At 37.2% G+C, this 20,966-nt stretch overlaps 1 long non-coding RNA gene across 1 annotated transcript in view; it reads left to right on the top strand.

Moving 5' to 3' along the window:
- Window positions 1–17,255, top strand: part of LINC02268 (long intergenic non-protein coding RNA 2268) — a 125,739-nt gene extending 108,484 nt beyond the window's left edge. The window contains exons 3-5 of the long non-coding RNA NR_125896.1: window positions 14,086–14,292; window positions 15,132–15,183; window positions 16,462–17,255. This is a non-coding gene — a long non-coding RNA (long intergenic non-protein coding RNA 2268). The remainder of the gene's footprint in view (window positions 1–14,085; window positions 14,293–15,131; window positions 15,184–16,461) is intronic.
- Window positions 17,256–20,966: the final 3,711 nt, after the last annotated feature.

The following is a 20,966-nucleotide window of genomic DNA, read 5'->3' as shown; positions in this document are numbered from 1 at the left end:
CACAAGCTATTGGAAAAATCCCTGAATTTTGTATGGGAAGAATAATTGCACACAAATGCACTCAGGAATCCTATGGAAAATATAGTGCTGTTAACTGGCATGGTTACAACACAATTTAGCAAGTATGTTAGAACAAATTACCCCCTTTAACCATAAGCCATTCTGTTTCACGCTTCTTAATGAAGGCCTGTGCCACACACTAGAATACTTCTCACCTCATTACTACTCATAAAAAGCAATGATCCATTCAAAGTCTCCTCATATCTCCCATATGAGTGGTAAAGAGCTTCGCCTCTCATTCTGGCAGGAGGACAGGGAGGCTTCTTCCCAGCCTGCCTTTGAAGTAGGTCATTAGAATGTTTACTAGATAAAAGGACTCAAAAATTTATCTGTGTAATCTCACTGTTGTCATGTGTTAATGTTCTATCCTTCCTTTAAAAACAAAACAAAACAAAGCAAACAAAACCCAAAGACATTTCTGTCCCTGTTTAGAGAATACAGGAGATTTGTAACACTCAGTGCAATTTTTCTCCTGCAGTATTCACAAGATATTTTCAAAGAAACTCTAAAAAGCAGGAAGAATTTAATGGGCCACTGAAATACAAAGTATGGATTCAATAAAAAGGCAGGAAGAGAAGCAAGCTGATAGGCCAGTTAAGAAGAAACAGTCCAATTTTAGAATTAAACAACTTTTTCTCTCCACGGAGTGTCATCAAAAGGAAAATAAAGTTGAGTATCCTTGGAAATAACATTGTATCGGTTACTAATGAACACGATTTTCATCTAGACTGAAATATTTTTCCCCTATTAATTTCAGGGACAATATATAATACTACTTAAGATGCATTGTGCGTGCTCAATAAAATTTGAGCTGAATGCATGCTTTTTAGATAATGATGATAAGTGGAGAAGGAGGAATTTTTTCATAATTTTTTTGAAGACATTCTAGGTCTAATCCAACTATAAAATTATGTGTGTATATGCATGTGTGCATATATATATATATATATATATATGCACATATTTTAACATCTGACTGTATAATAAGAATGAAAAAGGCTATAGAAGAGTAAACATATCCGAAAATACTATTTAACAACATTAGAGCATTTCAATTAGCAGGAGACATATTTGTCATCTCCATGACATACGAATTTCCATTTTGGCTATTAGCTTAATAGTATCCAAAAGAATAGCAATGTTTGCAATTCAAGAAAAAGCCCATACTAGGTACCAAAACAGTTTGAAAACAAGGTACTAATATCTAACTTCTGTAATGCAATAAAACACTGAAATCTGACACAGATTATAAATTTAAATGGTGTTTAAAATCAATTTCTTTGTAGGAAAACTACACTTAATATAAACTCTCTGATGACATTTCCAACCTTTCTTTGTGGTATCTCTGAAAATTTATCTCATCACCTGATGCAGTACCGTCAAACCCTACCCAACACTTACGCTGAGCAGTTTCTAAATTAAATTGCTATTCTCCAGGCGCTTTCCCAGAAACGCAAGCTCACGTCAGATCACACTCACAATGCTACAGGAGGGAAATGTTGGTACTGTATTTTAATAGGCCAGGGGAAGCACGTGCTCCTAGAGACCAGTCGGCCCCTGCGATAATAACTGCACAGCTTTGTTTCATTTGAAAACATACATCTGTACACACGTACTTACTCAGACATATATCCATGTATACAGAAAAAAGTTCAGCTAATAACAAAAGAAAGGATGAACATTGGCACTGTAGATGTTGACAGCATTATGCAAACTTTTCAATATTCCCTTGCATGCTCAACTTTAACTTTTGTTTATAAATTCCACTTAGACATAATTTACAACTTCTGTTAACTTAAGCTGGGTTCTGTAAATCTGTCTAAAAAAATCAGGGCAGAGTGCTTTGAGATGTTACAAATATATCTAGATATCAAACATTGAGCTGCACAAATTGTATCCACTTTGGAAACTCTAAGTTTGTATTTATGTCCATAATATATTTTAGTTCTGATGTTTTTAAAATGATGAAGCAAGTCTTACTCTTTTTTTCACCCTGCCTTTTCCAATCCTTGCTGAAATATCTATGAAAGAGACTTATGAGCCCAAGACAAATAAAATGAGAAATTCTGGAGGTTGTCACGATTTAAAAACACTTTGTAAGGTGATTTGAGGAGAAAAAAATACAAAAGTCAGGCAAAATTTCTTGCTAACTACCTGAAATTTGTAACTTTATTCTAGTATAGTTTAAAAACTTCAATACATAAAAATGTTATAAAGCTTTGTATCTGTTATTTCACCCTTGCAGAGCTGTTGCAGAGATCTTACCTTCTCATCTTTTTTTAGAAATAGTTGAAATGTCAGAAAAATCTGGATTAAAAGAAAAGGATAAATCCCACCTCTTTAGTAATTCTTCCTATTTATAAATTGCTTTTGCGATCAAAGACAGAAATTGAAGCTCTTCTGAGAGTTTGAATTTTAAAATAACAGAAAAGCAAAACACTTGGCTTCAGTTTTTTTCATTTTTTTTTCACTTTCCTTGAAAGAAGCAGCTGTACTTTTCACTCTGCAGTTTTGGGAAGAATGGAGAGTCCTGACTGATGCCCCTTTAAACTGAAAAGAGAACACTTAGCCAGCAGCATACATTTACAATAGGCTTTGGTTGGAGTGAATTACTCTAATTTGGGGCAGGAATTAAAAAGATTAAGTGAAAAGCAAAATAATGGAGAATAAAACAACTTGATATACTTTAATAAAATGGTAGTTTTTAACTATGAATATACAGTTGTAAATCAAGTATTAATATTAAAAAGGGGGGCAATTCCATATCAAAATGCAATTGGCTATGCATGTGGAGACTTTCTTAAAGAGAGTGTCAGATTCAATTGCATTATTTTCCAGTGGTGGAAGATAGCGGTTGATAAAAAGGTATAAATTGACAGGTAATTTTATTCAGAAGTAAACTTATGCTTCTATCAAATTTAAATTGCTTAGCAACAACCAGAATAATTTCGACTGATAAGGTTATTGTCTTTTCTTCTGCTGGTATGTTGCTGTCTCTCATATTTCAGTGATAATTCTCCAGTTCACGGCTGTACGTGTGGATGATCAAAGAGAAGCATTTTAGCTCATGTATGGTACAGCTTCCTTTAAAAGTTTGCTCCAGCATTGTCCAAGCCCTCTTTGGTGACCTAAATACCCTCCTAGGCTAGATTACTCATTTCCATGGCTTCAGCTACTATCTGTCCTACCTAAGTTTTCCAAACTATATTTCTAGATCACTTATGTCCCCCAAGCTCTAGCCCCTCTTCCTGCTTGAATGCCTTATAGGCGTCCCAAATTAAACTTCTGTTCTTCAACCCCTCCTTTCTTACTTGGAACCCTGTATTGGTTCATGGCCTTAGCACCCACCTACTTGCTCCGGTGAAATCTATGAGTTGTCCTTGTTCTTTCCCTTTCCTTCCGTTTCCAGTGTAATCCATCACAAATTCTTCAGATTTTATATTACTAAATAACTGCTACACATCACCCCAGTCCAGGTCACTGCCTTCTCTCACCTAGACTAGGGCAACAGCCTCCTGATCTTACAACAGCAGCATAAGGATGAGATGCTGCTGGCAACAACGAGGTAGGGGTGATTGCAGGCTCCTTTGAGTTTTTCCCGAGTATGCAGATCACCCCAGCAGGAGCTCTTCACCCTAATAGCAGTGGGCTCCAGCCTCCCTGCAAAACCCAAAACAGCCTCACTGTGTCCCCACAGATACCATCAGGATCTGTTGGCCAGAGTCCCTTGCTCCGAGGTCTAGGTTCCAGCTCTGGTCCCTCCTCCAAGCTTCTAGGTTCTAGTAACCCTATTCTCTTCTCCTTGTACTCCTAGCCTTAGGGATTCCTGTTTCTTGAAGTTATAGTCTTTTGTTGTCTCATGCCTATGAAGCAATTCTCAATTCTCTTTGTTAGACTTACCAATGTGGTTTTCCTGTTTCTTACAGACTTTGGCCGATAACACCCTCACGGCTCCAGACAGATAGGATTTTTAAATTCCTCAGACTCTTTATCGTTCTGCTTCTTGAGTTTCCCACACTCAGTTCCTTCTGCTAGAAATGTTTTCTGTTCCTGTTCTCCTTTCAGCTCTCTCACCCCTTAACTCACAGCTTTTGCCTAGGCAACCCCTTTTGGAATGCCACTTCCTCAGGGAGACCTCGCCGACCCTCTAGACCAGGTTGAATCTCCACTCATCCTTCCTCCTCCTCTGAAACCAATCACACCACTTTCTTGCCTGATGTCCGTCTTCTCTCCTGATTTAAGCAACAAGAGGGCAGAGAACATATTTTGTTCCTACCCAGTACCAATTTCTATGCCAAACATATTGTAGGCAATCAATGTTGATTATTGATTAAACTTAGTTTCTTATAAGCAGAAAAATATTGGGTAAAGTTTTTCAGCTAAGGATATAATTTTAGATTTTTTTCCCTTCTCATTTTAGCAATTCCAGGTATATGGGCAAAGAAATGTGAGACTTTTTTTTTTTTTTGTCTTGTAGGGACTTTATTTCACTCATAATCTCCGTCAGGGCCCCCTCCAACTCCTGGTACCAAGTTACTCTAAATAAATATATCCTGTAAGCAAAAACTCTGCAAATACTGTATCAAGGAAAATTCCCTAGTTTTCTTTCCACCTAAAAGATGACCCCTATGCCTCTCCTTTGGAAACATTCTGGAACTGCCACTGCTTTTGCTTTTGGACTTTAATTTCCCACTTGGCTGTTGTTTCTGTTACGTGCTATTTCCAAAATTCTAGCTCATACACTTTTTCTAGAGTCCTACAAGCATGAAGAAGTACTATTAATTCAGTTGAAGCATTTCTTTTTTGTTCATTACCTCACAAGATGACTTTTGCAGTTAAAGGTCCCAGTAATTTCTTTAAAATTTACAAAATTGTTATAATATTGCTATATTAATGAGAATAGCCAAGAAAATATTGTGTATCTCAAAGAAAGTGATTTTATGACTGTGGACAGAAGTGTTTTCACAAAAAAACTAGAAAATGAAATCATTTTGTTTGGAGCAGCTCTTCCCTTGTCTTGCCCCCCATTGCTCCCCAGTAGCTGCGGTCAGCCCAAGCCCATCACTGCCTCATGCCGTGAAGACTGCCCTCCCAGGTGGTAGGAGTTTCCCATCCTCACCTAAATCAGTTACCTGTTCTTTGCTCCACCTTCTCTCAGAAAAATGAAATGGAAAAACTAATACAGATTAATAAATTAGTGGCTACTGAGGGCTAAGGAAATCAATTTCAGGTAAAATATGCATCTAAAATGGAATTTTCTAATCTCATCATATCTAAATTGTGCCTTTTGAATGGTTTGTATTTCTTTCAATAGCAGATAGCAGATATTTAACACCTCTGCTTTATTATTGTTTTGTAACAGACTGCAGAGGTTTAGCAGTACTTCCAAATATCTTGTATTTGATGGTGATCAAATACTGTATAGCTTCAGAGTCCCATATTTCATGTGCATTGCCTTAACTCAAAGGACAAACTCCAACTGTGTGTTGTAGATATTTGGGGGCTGAGGTAGCCTTGGAGCTAATGCTAGTATTTGCTTACTTCACCTTTGAATAAAATCTTCCAAGAGAAAGAATCTTGAGTAATTACTCACACGTATTCGCAATGAGGTTCCCACCTGAGTCTTCGCCTTTCTGGTTAGGCAGAAGGGAGTATGTTTTCATGATACTGTCACTTACTGATCTGCTACTATGTGCCAGGTGATGTTCAAATAGTCTCTCATATAATCCTGATAGTACTGCCATCTCTAATTTATCTTTGAGGAAATTGAAGATTAGACTGATTGAATAACTTCCCAAAGTTACATGGTTAGTGTAGCCGCTTGACTGGAATTTCGATTCAGACCCTCTTTGAGGCCACCTTCCTGGCCCTCTTGGTCCTTCTGCTTTGTCACTGTCTCTTCACTTTTTAGAGGCACAGTTTTATTCACAACTAAATATATTACTTATTTTAATGTATCTTTTAGCTTAGCTTTTTGATAGGACTCAAGATCACTTAATGGAATTCTGGCCAAACTCTGGTCTGTACATCCAAGTATCTGTTGCTTACATTCTTAAAGATGGGGCTTTGGGAATTTTATAGGCCTTGGCATTTTATAGTATAAATAAATTTTGCTCTGAATGGCTTCAGCGAGAATAAGCAGACTATTTGCCTGCTACCTCTATTCTGATCACTGTAATCTGTTTTGGAAACAAAGAAACAGAAAGCCCTTAAGCCTATGTAGCATGTCAACCCATGTAAACTACCCTTTATTGTTCTTCAGTGATGTGTAAATACACATTGAGGTAAGAAGTTCATAATGTTAACAAATTAAGTTTCAAAAGCATTTGTCAAATTTAGGACTTATTAAGTGGTATAGTCTTAGTCTTAGATGAAGTTAAACAAAATTCTTTTCTGGTAACTCCAGTAATCTTTTACCTGGACAGGAATTTAGATTCATGAAGCTGTAACAAAATGTTCAGTACTCAAGTTCCCAGTAAACTTTGAACAAGAGGCAGTGAAGTGCCGTAGCTGGTTCACACTGGCTCACAAGAACAGATTATTAAATAGTCAGGTATTTTGTGATCTGGTTGTTAAAGACAGCCAATAATGAAAATTGGAGTGGTTAAACTTACAATTAAATAAATTATACCAAAAGGAAAGGTAATAATCAAAATTCACTAGTTTCTAATTAACTTACATCATAATATTATCTGTGCTCTTGAGATTATTTATAATTATTGTGTCCGTCTGGTGGAAATACTATATAATGCTGTGCTATTGCATATCTCTTCCAAACTCCGTGTTCAGGGATTTTGGTAGCTTAAATTCTGTCATTGTGGGAGTACTTAAACCATGGAAATCAGCAAACACTAAGAATCAAGCCTTTAATATTTATTTATTTATTTTTGGTAGTCTAGACTTGAGGAAGCTATGGAAGAAATGTTAAGAACACAGATCAAACCTAAAAGGATGTGGATGTTGTAGCTGTAGCTGCTACCTTGTGAATAGCACACAATTTGATGACATATCCTTCCAGTACTGTTTTTGCAAACTATTATCTGATTCAGCAAAGGAACACATCCCTGATACATGAATAAAGTTCCAACATACTTTGACGTGTTTACTTTCACCTTGCTTGTTAAGGTAAATGGAATATTAGCCAACATTCACGTTGATACCGCATTCATTAATTGTAAAAAGATTGATTATGGATTTAAGAATCTGGCAAAAATAAACAAAAGCCTTCTGTGAGAATAAATTGGCTATATAAAATGTAAAATAGTTTTAGGTATTTCATTATTACTTATAATTTGTATACTATACATTGTGTATATTAGTAAAATTTATAAGAAATAATAAACACAGGTATATTATATATATATATATATATATAATATATACATATATACATATTTATTTATTTCCCTTTTGGAAAGCCTGGCGTTAAGCCTGGCACACGCACCAGCACACCATTGACAGAAGCCAAGCCTTATTTTGATTCCAATTTATTCTCTGTGAATTGTAAAGTCACTGCCTGCCTTTAGAGGGCTGAGGCTTGTCCTTGCCACTGTTAATTAATGTGTTCATATAATTAGCTGAAGAAATACAAGTGCTATAGAGACTATGGGTAGAATCTCTCATGGCATACTTAAAAGTCTTCTGAGTGTTAATGGATGATTTGCCCAGAATGAACAAACACCTACCTCATTCTACAAATTTTTGGAAAACTTCCTCCCTTTTGGAAAACATGTAGTATGGGCTGTCTATGACATCCAAGAGAGTTTCATATTTCAGTTGAATTTTGTTTCCCTCTGGATATAGTTAGTGAGTTAAAAAAATAAGTGAAATTTTTCGAAAGACTTACTTTGAAAAGCCTTAGAAGTTTTTGTTATCGCGGTCAATGCTGAAAATCTTGAGCAATAGAGTCTAGAAGGGAAGTTTTACCTTTTATTTTAAGAACGTGAAGTTCCTGTCTTTCTTTTTTATTTCTTCTCTCTTCTCTTGTAGCTTCTGTCTCTTTTTCTTGTATTTCAGTCTTTCCATTCTTTGGAGATTTTAATTGAGAACAGAGGCATAGATAATCCAGAGATACAGGAGAATTCGTGGAAAGTTAGAAAAAATCGGGCAGAGAACAAAGTATAACTGTAAACATTTTATTGTTTTAGATATTTAGTGTAATGGGGAATTCTAAAATAACATCTGAGTCATTATCTTCGAAATATTTCTAACTTATTTCTGTACTGAAAACCATTATTACTTTGAAGATTGTAGGTAACATGAAACAGTAGGAGTTATTTCTAACACTAATCAATGACTGATGAGAAGGCTCCATCCTGTTCAAGATTTCACCTTCCACAGGTTCCTATGGTGATTCACCCAAGATTAATGAGGCATTTTCCACAGAAACTGTTAGACTATGTTTTCGCAAATTTCTGAGATAGGTTGTGTGTGGCGGTGGGGTGCAGGAGGGTGCGCACCCCTGTCTGTCTCAGAATGTTTATGCACAAACATTCACAATAACTATCTTGAGAAGCCTCACAAGAATCTGATTTTCTTTCTGGCTATTTGTGAAATGTTTTGTTACATCGTAAGGTGTGAGGAAACTTTTAACGACAGAGAAGCTAGGTGCTCATCATATGGCCAGCAACAAACCCCCCTTTTGTTTATTTGGCTTTATGAATCTAAATACTTATGATTGTCTCAAGACTCGAGTAATCAAATAACAGTCTTCATTTTCTCTCATTGATAAAATTATCCAGCAGATCTAAAGAGATCATCTAAAGCGATAAAAAATACTGTTATTATGCAATTGAACCACCTAGACTAATAGGATGTTTGGTGTGTGAAATCTAACAGCAAAATAGATTTAAATTAAAATGAAGTTTCTCACTACTATAATATTCAGGAAATTTTCTAATATTACGCTAGAAAAAGTTCCTGCTATGAGAATATTTCTGAATATGAAATCTCTTTTTTTAAAAAAATTCCTGTACCTTAAGTTCTAAGAGCAATATTAATCTTTGCTGGAAATTATTTTCATTTTATTTGGAATAATTTTTTCAATACATATTCTCTTTTTGCTTTCTATGAAATAAATCTATTACCTGAAAGTTTGGTACATTTCAAGTTGAGGCATGAAACTGAGATTAATTTCTCTTAAGAAGCCTTTGCCCCCACCCCCACTGCCCAGTTTTGTTGCTCTAATTAATGATAAAAAAAAACAAGTTTCCCATGTTTTCATTGATGTAGATTACATACTTGCTTATTTTTAAATTATTCTACCTATAAACTTTGCTGGCTTGAGATCTGTGACATATGATCTTAACTCATCCTTTTATCTTCTAACCAGGATGGAAAAGTTTTTCTTTTGCTCCTTATAACAGTGGTGGTAAATCCAAAATAAGCAAGAATTCTGGTTTCTAAGAAAACGTTGCTCATGAGCCTTCCTACTGCATCTAACTAGGATAGGCTTTCAGTGTTATAAAGTTACCTCTATTTCTCAATAAGTCTCATCTTTCATAGAGTCAAGAAATTCCATTGTTGCCAGACATCTTAAATACCAACAAATCCAAACATTTTATTCTTCAATTAATGAACTGGGATTTAAAGATCTTAAGTCACTTGCCAGTATCCTACAAATGGGTCAGAACAGAGAACAGAATAGAATATAGATTTTCAAGCTTACATTTCTGTGCTCTTTTCACTACTTCATGTGGCTTCTTTTGAAACCTAAATCATCTTATCTGTGGTTAGTCCTTATAAATGAATTAGAGGTGATTAGGAAATTTTAATATTTTTAATATTTATTTGATTATCTTAGCCATTGAAATGTTACATCTTGTCCCACAATCAATAGGTGCAGGGTAGATTAGGTTATAATCTGTGGCAATGTTTACTGACTTTCTGAGCCCCAAATATCTCTTTTTTAAAAAACAGAGTCAGCCTCTGTCCCCCAGAATGGAGTGCAGTGACGTGATTATGGCTCACTGCAGACTCGACCTCCTAGGCTCAAGTGATCCTCCCACCGCAGTCTCCCCAGTTGCTGGGACTACAGGCACGTGCCACTATGCCCGGCTAATTTTTTATTTATTTTAATTTTTTTGTAGAGGCAGGGCCTCATTATGCTGCATAGGGTGGCCCAAATAATGTCTTGTGGGGAGAAAAGAAATAACTAATTTTCCCTGGGTAGAGTTAATTGTACAAATTTCTACAAATTCCTAGGGTAAAGAAGAATTTTGGTTCACTTTAGTTTCTTTCTCTCCCGCCTTGCCTCCCTTACTCCCTCTCTTTTCATTTCAGTTGACTTTCTGACACCAAAATATTCACTTCTTGAAAGATAAGACACTTTGACCCAAATGGGAGCCAGCTAGCTTGAGTTGATGGCCCCATAAAGACTCTCAGAATACCAGAAACAGAAAGTACCTTGGAGATCATCTGGCACGCACTTTTTACTTTACTGGTGAATTCCAGAGACATGACCTGGTTTGTCAAGGCCACAGGTATTGGGAGCCAGAGCTAGAGCCTGGGATCCCTACTTCTCTTTCTATCACATGATGATATAATGAGGTAGTCAATATGCACTTTTGTCCTAGATAAGAAGAAGAAATAAAGAAAATAAATAATGAACTATACCTATTTTTTTGAGCTTATCTGGAAACATGGATTCAGATATTTATGTGCAGTCAGTCATATTTACACACATGGGTGCAAATGTGGAAACTTTCGAATTTCATTAGATGTCATTTTTATAGCATTTTTTGATGATCATAGCAAAAATTTAATGATCTCCTTCCATAATGGTAAATATAATAAAGTACTATGGAAAGTTTTCATGTACAGAACATCCCTGTTATTGAACTGGTTATAATTTAATGACAAGATGGTTGGGAGTGGTGGCTCACTCCTGTAATCCCAGCACTTTGAGGGGCTGAAGCGGGGGTATCACCTGTGCTCAGAAATTCAAGGCCAGCCTGGTCAACATGGCAAAACCCCATTTCTACCAAAAATACAAAAATTAGCCAGACATGGTGTCACGTGCCGGTAGCCCCCTCTACTTGGGTGGCTGAGGCAGGAGAATCACTTGAACCCAGGAGGCGGAGGTTGTAGTAAGCTGAAATCACACCACCGCACTCCAGCCTGGGCAACAGAGCCAAGACCCTGTCTCAAAAAATAAATAAATAAATAAAAATAATTTAATGACAAGGAAAGTGTAAGTGATTGATTTATAATCCACTTTGCTCCAAAAAATTTTAGGCAACTAAAATATATGTGGTACTAAAGGAAAATGGTTAAGTATGTGTTCTTCTCATGGTTACTGTAGTAGAGGCAATTGTATATGCTCACTTGCTTCCTTTTCTTCCTGTGCACATGGCTTAACTACATTTCCCTGCCTATGGGTGTGGCCATAGCATTGAGTTCTGGCAATAGAATGCAGGCAGAAGTGATGTACCCCACTTTCAGACCTTGCACTTCAAATCGATCTTGTGATTGCCACACTCTATCTCTGCCAGTCTTCCAGCTAGGTCCAGTGCAATAACACGAGGCCCTATAAAGGTAGCAAAACCACAGGAAGCAAGAAGATGAAATCTTCAAATGACAGCATAGGGCAGAATCATCCCTAGACCCTCTCAAACTGCAATTGACTGTGACAACAGTAAGAAACAAACTTCTATTGCGTTAAAATATTGGGTTATTGGCTTACATAACCAGATTTAATACAGACCATTTAACCACAGAGGAATTACTTGCTTTGGAAGTTTTGGATTAAGAAATAATTGCTTCATTTCACATCTGAATGTGTTTTAGAAAAAGATATAATTGCTTCAATACAAAACAGTTCTCACTGTAAATTTTGTACTTGATTACACTTATCTCCTAAGAAAAGTCAGTTAGGCTGAAATGCTGTTTGAATGAATAACTCATGAGTTAATGAGTCTATGATACTGGAAGATCATCAGTTATGTATTGTGCAAATATTTTCTCTTAATCTGTGGCTTGTCTTTTCATTTCCTTATACTGTCTCTCAAAGATTGGCTGTTTTTGATTTTGACTATGTCCATCTGATAAACTTATTCTTTTATGGTTTGTGCATTTTTGTTATCTCCTCTAAAAAGTTTTTTACCTAGCCTAAGGTCATAATTTTTTTTCCTATGTTTTCTTTTGGAAATTTAGTAGATTTATCTTTGACATTTGGGTCAATAATCCATTTTGAGTTCATTTTTATATCTGGTGTGAAGCAAAGCTTGAAGCTTATTTTTTAATATGCATATCTACTTGTTCTATTATGATTTGTTGAAAATACTATTAATTCACCATTGAATTACCTTAAGCTTATTTTATTTCTGTCCTTTGCTAAGTCCCTGCTTTTACGGTAATTCGTCTTTTATTTATTACATTTCAACTTTTATTTTAGATTCAGGGTGTATATGGGCAGATTTGTTATACGGGTATATTGTGTGAGGCAAGTTTGGGGTGGGATTATTCTGTCACGCATGTAGTGAGCATAGTACCCAATAGGTCCCCATCCTACTTTCCCCCCTTCAGTAGCTTCCAGTGTCTATTGTTCCCATCCTTATGTCCATGTGTACCTAACGTTTAGCTCCCACTTATTCATGAGAACATGGGGTATTTGGTTTTCTGTTTCTATATTAATTCACTTAGGATAATGGCCTCTAGCTGCATCCATGTTGCTGTGAAAAACATAATTTTGTTCTTTTAAAATGATTCCATGATGTATATGTACCATATTTTCTCTATTTGATCCACTATTGATGGATACCTAGGTTAATTTCATGTTTTCGCTATTGTGAATACTGCTGTGATGAACATATGAGTGCATGTGTCTTTTGGCTGAATGATTTGTTTTCTTTTGGCTATATACCCAGTAATGGGATTGCTGGGTAAAAAGGTAGTTCTATTTTTAGTTCTTTGAGAAATCTCCAAACTGCTTTCTATAGCGGCAGAAGTAATTTAGATTCCCAACAGTGTATAAGCATTCTCTTTTCTCTGCAGACTTGCCAGCATATTTTTTTTTACTTCTTAATAATAGCCATTCTGACTGATGTGAGATGGTATCTCACTGTGGCTTTGATTTGTACTTCTCTAATGATTAGTGAGGTTGAGCGTTTTTTCATATGATTGTTGGCTGCATGTAAGTCTTCTTTTGAGAAATGTCTGTTCATATCCTTTGCCCACTTTTTAATGGGTTCTTTGTTTTTGCTTGTTGAATTTTTTTTCTTTTTTCTTTTTTTTTTTGAGACGGAGTCTCACTCTGTCACCCAGGCTGGAGTGCAGTGGCGCAATCTTGGCTCACTGCAACCTCTACCTCCCAGGTTCAAGTAATTCTCCTGCCTCAGCCTCCCAAGTAGCTGGGATTACAGGGGCCCACCACCACGTCTGGCTAATTTTTGTATTTAGTAGAGACGGAGTTTTGCCATGTTGGCCAGGCTGGTCTTAAACTCCTGACCTCAGGTGATCTGCCTGCCTGTCTTGGCCTCCCGAAGTGCCGGGATTACAGGCGTGAGCCACCGCACCTGGCCGAATTGTTTAAGTTCCTCATAGATACTAGATATTGGACCTTTGTCAGATGCATAGTTTGTGAGTATTTTTTCCCATTCTATAGATTCTCTCTTTACTCTCTTGATAGTTTCTTTGCTATGCAGAAACTATATAGTTTAATTAGTTCCCGCTTGTCAATTTTTGTTTTTGTTGCAATTGCTTTTGAGGACTTAGTCATAAATTCTTTGCTGAGGCTTTCCAGAAGAGTACCTACTAGGTTTTCTTCAAGGATTTTTATAGTTTTTGGTCTTACATTTAAGTTTTTAATCCATGTTGAATTAATTTTTGTACATAGTGATAGATAAGGGTCCAGTTTCATTCTTCTGCATATAGATAGGCAGTTATCCCAGCACCTGCTTTATGGTAATTCTTAAAGTCATGGCTTATAAGCCATCTAACATTGTTGTTCTTCAAAAAATTGTATTGGGAGTGATGTCAGCAGGATGGCTGAATACAGACACCTGGTGTTCATCCCCTCCTCCACAGGAAAGGACTCAGGCAACAAATAAACAGCTAAGATTTTACTAGAGTATGAAAGGGAGAGCACTGGAGTGCAGTGCGGGGATGGAGATGCAGCTGTGGTGGCTGGAAGTACAGGAGGGCAGCTGGAGGCACCTGGCCTCTGAAGCCTGTCTTCTTCATCTGGGTGAGATCTGCTGGAGTCAGGAAGGACTTCCTGCTGCAAGGATAAAGGTAAGCAGAAGATCTCCACCAGTGCCCACTGCCATCACAAACACCTACAATCCTTATAGCAGGTGAATCCAGCAGTCCTCACAAGTCCTGAGACAGGTTTGGAGTCTTGCTGGGAATTCACACAGCTGCATTGTCCTAGATTAGGAGAACAAGGTGTGGACCCCCAACCCTCTATTCATCCCCTGTGAGCCATGGTGCTATAGCATGGCACCATACTGAGACCAGAGCTACTTCTGCAGTGTGCCCTGCTCTGAGGGCCAGTAGCCACTTCACCTCTCCAGCACTTGGGCTCCATCTTCATTCCACCAAGCCCATATGGGAAGCTGAACACCTCAATCCCAGATTCGTAAAGCATGGGCCAAGGATGGGCTGTGGCTCTGGTCCTGTTCTGTTCAGGGTGAACCTGCCCTTGAGCTGGCCAAACTGCTGCATACCCTCCCCAAAGCAGGAGAGGCCCCCAAGCCTGTGAGCAGCTGATATGCTCCAGGGCCAGTGAAGTGGCTATGTGCTTGCACCCAGGAACTGAGAAACAGTCCCACAGCACACCTGCACCCTCCAGAGAGAGCCCTGGCCTGCCCCAGTGGCCCTGTATCCCCATTCAGGGCCTGAGAAACAATTCCTCAGGCCACTCTTGGCAGGTATGATACTAAGCTGACCAAATAGCCAAAAACACCTATCCCAGACCTGAGTATCAGCCCTGTGGGCCAATCCAGGTGGACATGCCCCAGGCTGGCCAAGCAGCCATGTACCCACATTCCGGGCCTGAGAAACAGTTTTTTGGGCTGCTGTTGGTGAGGACACCCCTGAGCCAACCAAGCATCCTTGCAATTGTGTTTCAGACCTAAGAAGCATCATGACCTGAGAAACAGTTTCACAGGCCACTCTTGGCAGGTATGATCCCAGGCTGGCCATACAGCCAAAAGCCCACATCCTACATCTGAGTAACAGCCCAGGCTGACATGACCCCAGGGCAGACATGACCCCAGGCTGGCTGCCTATTGAGTAATTTCTTACGTTTTGCCTCCTCACAAATGAAATGCTATCATTTGTGAAAATATAAATAGAATTGGAGGATATTATGTTAAGTGAAATAAACCATGAACAGAAAGTTAAACACTACATGTTCTCATTCATATTTGGAAGGTAAGAAAACGTTGAACTCATAGAAGTAAAATAGAACAGAGGATACCTGATGCTGGGAAAACTTGGGGGAAGGGAAGGATAGGAAGGGATTTGTTAAAGAATATAAAAGTTAAACTGGATGAAAGGAAGTTCTTGTGTTCTCTACCACTGTAGGATGACTATAGTTAACAATAATATATCATGTAGTTTAAATAGCTAGAAGGAGGATATTGAATGTTCCTAATACAAAGAAATGATAAAAATTTGAGATGATGGATATGCTAATTATGCTGATCTGATCACTGTCTATTTATCAACACCTCATTATATATCCTAAGAATATGTACAATAACTATTTGTCAATCTAAAAAATTAGATAAAAATTGTTTTGTCTTTTCTGGGTACTTTACATGTTCATATATATTTTTGAGTCAGCTTGTCAATTTCTACAACAAAAGCTTGTTGGGATTTTGATTGAGATTATGCTGAATTTATAACTTGTGAAGAATTGATTTCTTTACAATATTGGACCTTCCAATACATGAACATAGTATATGTCTCCATTTGTTTAGGTGTTCTTTAATTTTTTTAAACAATGTTTTGAAATTTCCAGGATTTTTCACTGATTTAGTTAAATTGATCCTTAAATATTTAGCTTTTGATGCTGTTATTTTTATTGAAAATTTCTAATTGTTACATTCTAATACATGAAAACAGTATATATCGTGAAATTTCAAATAAAAATTATATATAGAATATATAATATATAAATATACTTTTTATATTATATGTATGTCATATATTTATATATCGTATATATGTATATTTATTTATATATTATCTATATATTTATATATTCCATATATATTTTTATATGTTATCTATTTATATATATTTTACATATATATTTTACTGGTCAGGTGAATTTCTCAGAGGCAGTTTACAATTTGATCTTTTTAATGTCATATATATATATATATATATATATATATATATATATAAAATTTCTTTTGAGACAGGGTTTAGGGGTTTTGCTCTGTCACGCAGGTGAAGTGTGGTGGCGTAATCATGACTCACTGCAGCCTCGAACTCCGGGACTCAAGCTAATCTCTTTCCTCAGCCTTCCCAGCAGCTGGGACTACAGGTATATGCCACCAAACCTAGCTAACATTTTAAAAAATTTTTTCTTTTGTAGAAACGGGGTCTTGCTATGTTGACCAGGCTGGTTTTAAACTCCTTGCCTCAAGTGATCCTCCCATCATTGCCTCCCAAAGTCTTGGGATTACAGGCATGAGCCACTGCGCCCAGCTACAATATATTTTGGATGCTGACTTTATATCCTGTGACTTTGCTATGGTCGCTTATTATTTCTAGACATTTTTGTTTTTGACAGAGTCTCACTGTTTTGCTTAGGCTGGAGTGCAGTGGCACAATCTTCATTCACTGCAACCTCTGCCTCCTGGGTTCAGGCTATTCTCCTGCCACAGCCTTCAGAGTAGCTGGGACTGCAGGCACGCAACACCATGCCCGGCTAATTTTTGTATTTTTAGTAGAGACAGGGGAATCACGATGTTGGTCAGGCTGGTCTCGAACTCCTGACCTCAAGTGATCTGCCTGCCTCGGCCTCCCAAAGTGTTGGAATTACAGGCGTGAGCCACCATGCCTGGCCACGGTTTTTTTGATCCTTTAGGATTTTCTACCAAGACTGTCATGTCATCTATAATCAAGTACTCTTTTATTTCTTTTTTTCCAATTTGTTTGTATTTTATTTCTTTTTTCTCAAAGCTTATTGTACTGACTAAGATCCCCAGAATAATGTTGAATAAAAGTATTGGAAACAGACATCTTTTCTTGATTCTAATATCTAGGGAGAAAGCTTTCACTATCACATACCATTAGTAATAAGATTAACTGTACAGTTTCTGTAGATGCCCTTTACCAAGTTGAGAAAGTTCCCTTTTATTTATACTTTCCTGGGAGTTTCTACCATGCACTAATGACATTGAATTTTGTCAAATGGTTTCTCTACATCTATTGAGATGATCATATGGCTTTTCTTTTGTAGTCAAATTTAATTTATTGATATGATGAATTACACTTATGGATTCTTTTTCAATGCTCAAATAAATGTTTATTCCCTTTTATTCTTGACATTATTATTTGGTCAAACCAGATGAAATTACAACTATTTGAATTTTTAAAGTAACAAAAGAGCAATTATAAGTAGTATAACAACAACAAAAGTATAAGTCTAGTTCATTTAGCAATACCAGAAACAAATTGGTGGTTACATTCTACTCCGCAAACCGCATAAAGATCAGATCTCTCCCCAAACTAGGGTTATGCTTTAGTGGTATCGGTAATAAAATTAGATGGTATCTCTTTTACAGTTAAATCTATAATTCAGGCAGGGGGAATGAAACTCATTCATTTCCAAGTCACCAAAAGCTCTTTTCTGGGGAGAGTGGGCTACAATATTGATTGAGAACAGGAGAGAAAAAGGAAAAGAGCACACCAGAAGCCCAGAAATCCAACATTAGATAGGGTCAGTGCTTCCCAATAATGTAAATACCAGGTCAATTATCCAGTCACTTTCTTCTCTCTTTTTTTTTTTTTTGAAACGGAGTCTCGCTTTGTCATCCAGGCTGGAGTGCAGTGGCCTGATCTCAGCTCACTGCAAGCTCTGCCTCCTGGGTTCACACCATTCTCCCGCCTCAGCCTCCCCAGTAGCTGGAACTACAGGCGCCCACCACCACACCCGTCTAATTTTTTGTATTTTTAGTACAGACAGGGTTTCAACATGTTAGCCAGCATTGTCTCAATCTCCTGACCTCCTGATCCACCTGCCTTGCCCTCCCAAAGTGCTGGGATTACAGGCGTGAGCCACTGCGCCTGGCCTCTTCACTCTTTCTGAGAGACCTGACCACATCCTTTCAAGGATCGGTATATGGTGCCTCCAAACTGAGGCATTTAAAAAACAAATAAACTTAAAACTCTAGAACAGCTTTAGATTTACGGAAAAATTGTAAACATATTATAGATAATTCTTGTGTACCCCACACCTGGTTTCCCTTTTAGCATCTTACATTGGTATGGTATATTTGTTACAATTAAGGAAACAATGCTGACAAATTATTATTAACTAAACTCCATATTTTATTTGGATTTTCTTGGTTTCTATCCAACATCTTTTTCTGTTTCAGAATCCCACCCATCCTAAGGCATTACATTTAGTCATCATAGCTCTTTCTTCACAGAATTAGAAAAAACTACTTTAAATTTCATATGGAACCAAAAAAGAGCCCATATAGCCAAGAAAATCTTAAGCAAAAAGAACAAAGATGGAGGCATCATGCTAACTGACTTCAAACTATACTACAAGGCTACAGTAACCAAAACAGCATGGTACTGGTGCCAAAACAGATATATAGACCAATGGAATAGAACAGAGGCCTCAGAAAAACGTCACCCATCTACAACCATCTGATCTTCAACAAATCTGACAAAAACAAATAATGGGGAAGAAATTCTGTATTTAATAAATGATCTTGGGAAAACTGGCTAGCCACATGCAGAAAACTGAAGCTGGGCTCCTTCCTTACACCTTATACAAAAATTAACTCAAGATGGATTAAAGACTTAAACGTAAGACCTAAAACCATAGAAACCCTAGAAGAATACCTAGGCAATACCATTGAGGACACAGACATGGGCAAATGACTAAAGCAACAAAAGCCAAAATTGACAAATGGGAGCTAATTAAACTAAAGAGCTTCTGAACAGCAAAAGAAACTATCATCAGAGTGAACAGGCAACCTACAGAATGGGAGAAAATTTTTGCAATCTATCCACCTGACAAAGGGCTAATATCCAGAATCTACAAATAACTTAAACAAATTTACAAGAAAAAAAACAAACAACCCCATCAAGAAGTGGGTGAAGGATATGAAAAGACACTTCTCAAAAGAAGACATTTATGTGGCCAACAAACATGAAAAAAAGCTCATCATCACTGGGCATTAGAGAAATGCAAATCAAAACCACAATGAGATACCATCTCACGCCAGTTAGAATGGCGATCTTTAAAAAGTCAGGAAACAACAGATGCTGGAGAGGATGTGGAGAGATAGGAATGCTTTTACACTGTTGGTAGGAGTGTAAATTAGTTCAGCAATTGTGGAAGACTGTGTGGAGATTCCTCAAGGATCTAGAACCAGAAATGCCATTTGACCGAGCAATCCCATTACTGGCTATATACCCAAAGGATTATAAATCATTCTACTATAGAGACACATCCACCTGTATGTTGATTGCAGCACTGTTCACAATAGCAAAGACTTGGAACCAATGCAAATGCCCATCAATGATCGGCTGGATAAAGAAAATGTGGCACATATACACCGTGAAATACTATGTAGCCATAAAAAAGGATGAGTTCATGTCCTTTGCAGGGATATGGATGAAGCTGGAAACCATCATTCTCTGCAAACTAATACAGGAACAGAATGCCAAACACCACATGTTCTCACTCATAAGTGGGAGTTGAACAATGAGAACACATGAATACCGGGAGGGAACATCACACACCAGGGCCTGTCAGAGGGTCGGGGGCTAGGGAAGGGATAGCATTAGGAGAAATACCTAATGTAGATTATGGGTTGATGGGTGCAGCAAACCACCATGGCACATGTATAGCTATGTAACAAACCTGCACGTTCTACACATGTATCCCAGAACTTAAAGCATAAGTAAAATAAAAAAATAATTAAATGAGGAAGAAGAGTCAAATTTTTGTGCAGAAAAATTTGAAAGAATTTATGTAGATACTACTTCCTCAATGAGGAAGAGCATAACTCTATGCTCTTTAAGTCGGACATGAACATACTCATTTCTTTCAAAAGAGTACAATATGAAAAGAGGGAAAAAGAATAACTGTACAGTAAAGAAACCTGACAATTGCTACCTTGGCCAAGTGACCCAGGTCAACATCAACAGTGATAGTGACGTTTATGTCATGTCCACTTGAAATGATGTGATTAAAAAAAGGCACTTTACCTCTGTGTTCTTCTTCCTATTCCCATAATTCCAGACTAATTATTTAAAAATTTTCATATGTATTCCAATTAAAGAACATTCTAAAAAATACCCAACTGGTAATTCTCAAAACTGCCTAGGTCATCGAAACAAGCAAAATTTGAGAAACTGTTACATTTATGGATTTTTAAATATTGAAACAAATCTCATATTTCTGGGATGAAATCTACTTCATTATGAAGCATTATCCTTTTAAATATATTGCTTGAATTAATTTGCTAAAATACTGTGTAGGATTTTGCATCTATACTAATGAGAGATAGTGATCTTTAGTTTTCTTTTTTCTTTTGTTTTGTTTTCTGAAACAGAGTCTTCTTGCTCTATCGCCCAGGCTGGAGTGCAGTAGCATGATCATAGCTCACTGCTGCCTCAAACTGAAGCAATTAAAGACTGCTCAAGTAATCCTCCCGCCTCAGTCTCTTATGTAGCTAGGACTATAGGCATATACCACCATGCCC

This window comes from Homo sapiens, chromosome 4, assembly GCF_000001405.40.
Source record: "Homo sapiens chromosome 4, GRCh38.p14 Primary Assembly".
Lineage (NCBI taxonomy): Eukaryota > Metazoa > Chordata > Mammalia > Primates > Hominidae > Homo > Homo sapiens.
The sequence above is the reverse complement of the archived record's forward strand: the minus strand, read 5'-3'. Positions and strand labels throughout refer to the sequence as shown.